Source organism: Homo sapiens, chromosome 7 (genome assembly GCF_000001405.40).
Source record: "Homo sapiens chromosome 7, GRCh38.p14 Primary Assembly".
Lineage (NCBI taxonomy): Eukaryota > Metazoa > Chordata > Mammalia > Primates > Hominidae > Homo > Homo sapiens.
This window is the reverse complement of record NC_000007.14, coordinates 134,064,056-134,072,385: the sequence shown is the minus strand read 5'-3', so window position 1 is coordinate 134,072,385 and position 8,330 is coordinate 134,064,056. Positions and strand designations below refer to the sequence as shown.

Here is an 8,330-nt window from a genome sequence, read left to right as displayed (position 1 = left end):
CAAACAGCAGCAAAACCCCACCCAGGTTTAATTACTTCTTCAGGTCTTCATTTTTTTTCATGTATAACTTACATTAAATAAATTAGTATGCTTTCTTCTTCTTAATCTGTCTTTTGTTACAGGGGTTCCAGACAATGAACCTAAGATAGATAGAAGGAAAAGATAAGTTGCCTCCCCTATGAAGGCTAAGGCAACATGTTGAGCCAAGATACACCAGATTCTAGAACCTGAGCATTTAGCTTCAACCTCTTGGGGTTATCTCCAGCCTCCAACTGGTGGGGGGTCAGCCCCTGAACCAAAGGTTTGTGTTTCCAAGATTTCTGTCAATGTACTGGTCACAGGGATGGGCTCAGGCAGCTGTGGGTGGAGGAGAAGCAGAGAGGAGAGTGGGCAATGGTGGCCCCAAATGTGGTCCAGAAATGGTTCCTGCTGGAGGTTACAGGAGAGGACAGGGTGAATGGATGAGTCAGACTACCAGTATCACTTGGGGCTCAAATATAGCATGTGAGAGTCCCTGCCTTTGCCACACTAGACAAGGGGGTTTGGCTCAAAATAGCACAGAGGGGGGTTCTGTAGCAGTGAGAGAAATCTAGCATAGTTGACTCCATCTTGCTTCTAACCCCCAAGCAAACTGCCTTTGCTCATTCCTGCATGTAGGCCCAGCTAACTATGGGAGGAATTTAGTGTATAGCTTAACTTTAAAGCAAGGATGATAATAGGGCCTTCCCCAAACTAACCCCTGAGGAGATAAGAAGGGCATACACCCAAGAACAATGTTATGCTAAAGACTTGTAGGAGTGCTGTGACCTGAACAAAGAAAAAGAAGTTATGAAACTCCCTCAGACTCTTGCTGACACCCAGATGTCTGTGGTCACCTGTCACCTCCTGACCTTAACCCCCTCCTTGTTCCCTTTACCCAATATAAAAAGAAGCTTGAGATTCATACCTTTGAAGATGGTCCTTTAGGACACCAGTCTGCCATCTTCTCAGTTTGCTGGCTTCCTGAAATAAAGTCACTTTCCTTTATTTGGAAAGAATAGTTGAGTATGTCTTGTCTTATTGGCTGTTGTGAGACGAGTGGTATGAGCTTTGGATTTGGCTACGGTTCCAGAATGAACTCTGGTGTTGGGCAGAGCTGGCTCACTTACCAGATCTGGTGCAAAGCCCTTAATCCGAGCCTTAGTTTCCTCTGTAAAGTAGGGATGATAATAATATACATCTTGTAGGATTATTGTGAGGATTAAATGAAATAATGTGGTAAAGCATTTAGCACAGCACCTGATACACATGAAGTGTTCCATAAATGGTGTCTAGAATAACGTAGTAGCAATCATAAAATAAAAACAACCACAAAAACCAGCTACTAATGGTTTCCTGATCTCTCTCACACAGTAAATAAATCCTTGTGTGAAAGAAAACTTGAGCTGGTGATAATTAAATCAGTTTGGGATGAGAAGATTGCTGGGTTTTCTGTTTGGAATCAGGTTCCTGCTAGAGTATCTATTGCAAAGTCAGCAGGAATCTGAGGTCACCTTTCTAAATGAGATCAAGGAAAATGGGAACTGCACTCACCCGAAAACACCTAAGTTCCTTTTATTTTTTTTCCAGTTATTTGTACACACATAAGTGGTCACATACATCTTAATAGTATGCATGTGGCTTTTACAAGTCATTGCGTTCTTAGGTTCCCAGGGACTCTTGCTCCAGGTGTGTAAATGTCCTGGCAATATTTTTAATTACAGACGCGTCTTTGGCCCAGACATGTTAAAGCAGCCTCTCCTCACATGGTGTACGTTTCATCACACTCACACCTACCTCCATTAGCAGAAATTCTTTCCTGGTGTTTGCGTCTTAGTTCACTTTTAAAGAAATTTCCAGCTCAGTTCCAATGGCTTTTGCATCTCATTACACTCTTGATAAGTAGCTCTATCTCATTACACCCCAGTCCAGTTGGAATAGGATTAGTTGTTTTCAGGTGTAAACCTGTGGTGTGCATCTTACTACACCTCTTCAAAATTCCAGGCAGGCCTTCCGCCTGCGCCAAATTAGGACAACTACTTCCAGCTGCGCAGTTCATTACACCCTCCATTTCAGGAAAAACCTCTGCTGTATTTCACATCTGGTCACACGCTTATTAATTATGTACTTCTTATAACAACTGTGCCTAATTAGGACAGGGTTGACACCTTGCCGAGCCTAGTGATTCTTTATGTTTTCTTGTTCGTGGTACCTCATTACCCTCCCTCCAAATTATGTCCAATTTGTTTTACATTCCTGCCACATTAAGACAATCGCTCTCAGGTGTAGGTATTTCAGCACCCACTTTGCTTTCCAAGCAAAATTGTGTTGACCAGGACTCTCCTTGTTTTCACATCCTGCTAGAGGGACAGCCCCTTGGCTGGTCTTCTGATCACATCTGCCCTGAATGAAATGACTCTGGCTTGGAGCTGGCCCCTGGTCTCTCTCATTGGTTACTGTGAAATTTCTGTGCCCTGGTCCTAGGGAGGCAGCCACAGCTACACACCAAAGTAAGAATCCTGAATTCAATGGCCTCAGTCCATTCATAAAGGCTGTGGGGTGGGAATCCATTAGTTCCATCAAGAAATGGTAAAGGGGCCAGGTGTGGTGGCTCATGCCTGTAGTCCCAGCGCTTTGGGAGGCTGAGCCCCAGGGGTTTGAGACCAGCCTGGCCAACATGGTGAAATCCCATCTGTACTAAAAATACAAAAATTATCTGGGCATGGTCTGTAGTTCCAGCTACTTGAGAGGCAGAGGTGTGAGAATCGCTTGAACCCAGGAGGCAGAGGTTGCAGTGAGCTGAAATGGTGCCAATGCACTCCAGCCGGGGCAACAGAGTGAGACCTTGTCTCAAAGAAGAAGAAAGAAGAAAGGAGAAGAAGGAGGAGAAGAGGATGGAGGAGGAAGGAGAAGGAGGAGGAGCAGGAGAAGGAGGAGGAGAAGAGGAGGAAGGAGGAAGGAGAAGTAGGGGGAGAAGAGGCGGAGAAGGAGGAGAAGAGGGAGGAGGAAGAAGGAGAAGGAGGAGGAGAAGGAGGAGAAGGAGGGGGAGAAGGAAGAAAGGAGGAGGAGGAGAATGAGGGGGAGAAGGAGGAGGAGAAGAGGAGGGAGGAAGTAGGAGAATAAGGAGAATAAGGAGAAGAAGAAGGAGAAGAAGAAGAAGAACTGGTAAAGGGTGAACTGCTAGGTGTGCTAGCTAGTGGGGCACAGTGGATCGTGAGAGTCCTAAGCTTCCAGAGAAGCAAAGCTCAGAAGAGAGTGCACAGAGTCAGGCTGAAATTTGAGCTGTCTTCCTAAATGAAAGGGTGGTCACAGAGAATCGAGAGGGGAAATATGGACTCTGGGAAGGGTAGATCAGAGAGGAGTTGTAAGAAGCCAGTGGAAGTATAAGCTTTGTGTCACAAGGGGCTGTTTCTTTTGCCTGTCATTGCCCGACTCCCATATCAACCTGAGCTGTAACAGGCAATTCTATTTGACTGACTGAATGAATGCATTAGTGCTACGAAATTCACGGATATGACTTGACAGTAAGTAGCATTAGGGTTTGGTTGCCAATTCAAGTTGTCTGTATTGGAGTTTTTCCTCCCAAGCTATTTGAAACATAAATAAGGACCGTCGGGCTCAGAAAACATTCAGACAAGAATAAAGTCTTGGAGAGAGGGTGGGGCTTCTTGGAATGGGGTTACTCTGCAGAGGGCAGTAACTGCTGGAAGAGGATCCCACCAGATTAGTAGTAATGTAATAGAAGTAATAGTACCTAAGGATGGGCAAGATACAGCCCCTATATTAGTCCATTTTCATACTGCTATGAAGAAATACCTGACACTGGGTAATTTATAATGAAAAAGAGGTTTAATGGACTCACAGTTCCACATGGCTGGGGAGGCCTCACAATCATGGCGAAAGGTGAAGGAGGAGCAAAGTCACGTCTTACATGGCAGTAGGCAAGGAGAAATGTGTGGGAGAACTGCCCTTTATAAAACCATTGGATGCTGTGACACTAATTCACTATCATGTGAACAGCACTGGAAAAACTCACCCCCATGATTCATTAACCTCCTACCAGGTCCCTCCCCTGACACGTGGGATTATGGGAGCTGCAATTCAAGATGATATTTGGGTGGGGACACAGCCAAACTGTATCAGCTCCTTTCCTCAAGTAGGTCAGAAACAAGGAGGAAAGGTCATGAAAAGCAGAGGCTTTTCACAAGGTTTCCAGTGTGGTGTCAAGAGTTTCAAGAGGATGGGTTTCAAGAGTATGGGCTGTAGCAGCTCAGGCCTGGTCTTACCACTAAACTTGAGCTGATCTGGACATACTAAAAAATAAACTTGTCTTTCAGAGCCTGGAAGCAGGACTTGTCCTTAACCAGCAAGAGCAACCTGAGGAACCAATCCTTGTCTAATTATTGGGATGAAATCAGTGTGGAGGGGGAAAATGTTCTAGTTGGGCAGTAAGATTTCAAAGCCCTACTGTGAGGTAGGAATAAAAACACCGCCTAGGATGAGAGACCCTGAAAGAACCTGTATTAATAGAGCAGGTAGAAAGAAGTGCTTGTGGGGTAAGGGGCACAATATCACCCAAAGAGTAGTTTCATTTATAAATTGGAAGGTATACTGACAGGCAATAATATATAGCTAAAAGTAACCAAAAATATAGAAGAAACCACCACCAGCACTTCCAAGAACACAATTGCCTGTGTGTGTGTGTGTGTGTGTGTGTGTGTGTGTGTGTATATATATATATAAGAGTTGGGTCCTAGCTGATGAACTACCTCTTTTTCAAGGAATTTATTCCAACGAAGGCTAACTTGAAAGAGATTCTTTCAGTAGTTTCTGGGCCCTTGGGTATGGAAGAGAGGAAAGTAATATTTATGATAAGGGTTGCTGTGAGGACTAAATGGGAACACATGCTAAGTACCAGAGAGTAGATAACAGTGTTAGAAGGAAGTGCTCTCTGGGAGCTGCTGTTCTGAGAACCAAGTTGGATGACATCACTCCAAAGCCTTCCTTCTTCATGGTCATGTTGATTTCCCATCTCAGGACCCCTCCTACTCCCGTGGGCCTACTCCATGGCACAGTGACTAGTGATGCAGGCAGCAGTCCACACATCCCTCCCATTTGTACCTCTGTATAAGAATGAGAAAACGGTTTGCTTTGTTTCCAGCACCCCTTCTGGTAAGGCGTATTTCGTTGGCCTTTTTTTTTTTTTTTTTTTTTTTTTGAGACAGAGTGTCGCTCTGTCGCCTAGGCTGGAGTGCAATGGTGTGATCTGGGCTCACTGCAACTTCCACCTCCCAGGTTCAAGCGATTCTCCTGCCTCAGCCTCCTGAGTAGCTGGGATTACAGGTGTGCACCACCACACCAGCTAATTTTTGTATTTTTAGTAGAGATGGGGTTTCACTATGTTGGCCAGGCTGGTCTCGAACTCCTGACCTCCTGATCTGCCTGCCTCAGCCTCCCAAAGTGCTGGGATTACAGGTGTGAGCCACCATGCCTGACCTTTGTTGGCCTTCTTATCTGCAATAGCACACTTAGGGAGAGGTCTTCACACAAGAACATTACGTAACTGTGTATGTGTTTCGTGGGCCCTGTCCTTGGCAGACCCTGGCTCTCTCTAGCACTTTCTGGTTGGTCAAGGCTGTAAACAGCACAACAGCCTCACAAAATACTCCTAAGTAGGACCAAAATGTGGAAATCTTCACTGTGTCCCAAATGCATATAGGTTGTGAGGTAGCCATTGACCACCCACTGAGTGTGTCACTGGCTGTTCTTTACCTGTGGAAGAATAAAGACTGATGTGCCAACCTTCAAAGAAACTTGGATGTCCTAAATGTCTTGGAAGAGTCCCACAGTCCCTTTCCTGTGCAGAATTGCCATTTTCAGTCCCGTCATTGTAAGCAAAGCAGAGATTTCACTTTCCTAAATGTTGCCCCTGAAACAGCTCATCTGCCATTTTTTGGTTGGTTCTCAGGGCTCTTGACATTCTGCTCAATCCAAACCCATGTTTCTTTTTTAGCGGAGCTTTCCACTACTTCCAAGAAAATTAGTCTGAGCACTCTCAGTCTCACCCTGGCTCTGCTGCCATCACTGTCACCACTCCGGGTTCTCCGCCTGGAGTGGACAGGAAGAAAAAGGAAAGGTACAGAATCAATGCTGGGGGTCACGGCCATGAAGCAGCAGCTTAGGCAACCCTAATCTCCTCTCATCCCCCCTTCTTCCACTCCTGCTTCTAGGGTAGACTATTTCTCATGATATCGTTTAGGGCAGTATGTTTTTCCACAGTTGTCTCCTACAGAGATTCAACTTCTTCCCAGTCAGGCCCTTGGAGCCAGACAGATTGACTACATTCTTTCCCACCAGAATCCCCTGGAACCTCCAGCTGCCCACTGAATCCCCTTCCCGGCAGCCCCACTGCCTGACCTGATTCTGACCCAGCCCTGAGTTTGAGCTGTTGGGATTTTTGGCTCCAGTCCAGTTCCCACACTCTTAGATAATAAGGGTGTCCTCTTCATCTATCCATTTGCCCTTGTGTGTGGTAGCATGGAGCACATATTAGGCTTCTGGGGAATATTTGCTGAATAAAGAACACAAGAAAAATAACATGAAACATTTAAGCTTCTCAAAACACTTTTTAATTCTCCATTTTTCCCATCAAGACCAAAGTTGTACAAACAGGTACAAAATCCCCCACCTTCAGGGTGTGAGGCATCACTGTGTGTGGTCAAAGTCCCATCTCCTCCCCTTTCCCTTTCCACGAGTTTTCAAGATGTGGCCCAGTCAGTGCATTGCTGCCTTCTATGACCTATGAACCATGGGCAGCAAGAGGACTGGTGACCGGGGGACATGGTGAGGTCCAGTGTGCCAGGAACATGGTAAGTGCCCACATTGCGGGGGAGGGAACAATTCAGAGACAGGCTCAGCTGGAGGCCGCACAGAGGAGAAATGTCACTCTGTCCCATCTTCCCTGCATTCAGCTGAGCTCAGACCAAGTGAGCACCTAAGAATCATTTACCCCCAAAGGATGTTTCAAGTGAGATGCAATGTTCTCTAACCATTATTCTCTCAGAAATTAGGGGTGGCGGGGCGGGAATCAAGCAGATGTTTGAATTGCCTTTCATTCCTCCATAGTTGTCTAATTGTCTGGCTCTTGGTTTTTATACAGCAGAAATAAAACAAAATGGCAATAAACCAACCTACAACCTGTGTACAAGATACAGCATACAAAACTGTCCCAGGGACTGGGATCAAAAGACTTCTATTCCTAGCCCTAAATTAGAGGTTCTGTTTTGGTTAGGGAAGTTTGTTGTAAACAGCAGCTGAGAAGCCATTTATTTGATTTTGGCAATAGAGACAGACAGCAATGCACATACACTTATTTCATTGAACTGTAAACGGATAAGGTCAGGAGAGGAAAAACCCTACTGTTTATGTAATAGAACCCTACTAAATGGTTTTGGAAGGGACTAAAAGTTAGGTAGCAGCCTACTTTCCTACTTTCCAAGGCTGGAATTATATATATATTGAGTAATAAATCAAATATTAGTAATCCATCCACTTGTTTTTCAGAGTCCAACAATTTGATACCACCTTCCTCCCTATCCCACCCTAGTCCCGTTAGATTTGACTGCATTAAAGTAGTTGTTCAACCAAAACACTCTGTACTGTCGCCTTCCTTTAGCATTTATATGAAAAGCCAAAACCAGAGAGAAAGAATCCTTACACCTCCTCTCCACTAAAGTATCACTGTAGAGAAAACTAAGCTCAGAATATACTCAATAACATACCAAGGAAAAAAGTGAGTGTGACTGAGGGGACCCCCGTCACCAACCGCAGTACGCCCTGCTAAACGGTAGTTATCTTCTTGTCCTTGGTGGCTTGCTTGATGGCAGCCTGCTCGCAGATGATCTCTTTGAGCCTCTGCAGCCTCGTGTTCTGGGTGGTCAGTTCCCCCACCCCAGTCTGGCTGCGGTGCAGCAGGGTCAGAGCGTGGATGTACTCCAGCTCCGTGTACTTCACACCCTGGTCCACCACCAGGTTCAGGAGCTCGTCAGCTGTGTTGTAAAGCATCTCGTAGTACTGCCTGAGAAAGCAAGAGAGAACACTGCTCACTGGCTCCCCACTGGTAACGTCGTCTCGAGGGGACAAATACGCTGTCTATACATTGATTCCTCTACTTACTTCATAACGATTGATCAGCAGGCAGTGTTCTAGGCCCCACCAACAGAATAAAGAACAGGACAACCATAAGCTCTGTCCTTTGGAGCTCATGGGAGCTCTCTTCAGGAGAAGTCTAAGTGAGGACCCAGGGAGGCCGC

The 8,330-nt window shown here is 45.6% G+C and overlaps 1 protein-coding gene across 10 annotated transcripts in view, besides 1 other annotated feature; it reads right to left on the bottom strand.

The window, feature by feature from the left end:
* EXOC4 (exocyst complex component 4) overlaps positions 1–8,330 on the bottom strand; it is an 847,874-nt gene that overhangs the window by 28,566 nt on the left and 810,978 nt on the right. For 3 of the 10 annotated variants that reach the window (XR_007060126.1, XR_007060123.1, XR_007060128.1), the window contains exons 18-22: positions 7,800–8,095; positions 6,436–6,589; positions 5,791–6,126; positions 947–1,189; positions 73–140 (exon numbers count right to left, since the gene is read on the bottom strand). Coding sequence is in view for 2 of the 10 variants with exons in the window: in NM_021807.4 (NP_068579.3) it covers positions 7,858–8,095 (238 nt within the window). In the remaining 8 variants the exon portion in view is untranslated. Of the gene's footprint in view, positions 1–72; positions 141–946; positions 1,190–1,568; positions 6,127–6,435; positions 6,590–6,624; positions 8,096–8,330 lie in introns of those variants that run through there. The other 7 variants (XR_007060125.1, XR_007060127.1, NM_021807.4 and 4 more) reach the window with 5 other exon arrangements.
* Positions 695–794: an enhancer, noted in NCBI's record as "active region_26686". NCBI's record gives its function as "activates an Ori minimal core promoter by ATAC-STARR-seq in GM12878 lymphoblastoid cells {active_cell/tissue: GM12878}" and the evidence as "EXISTENCE:reporter gene assay evidence [ECO:0000049][PMID:35858748]".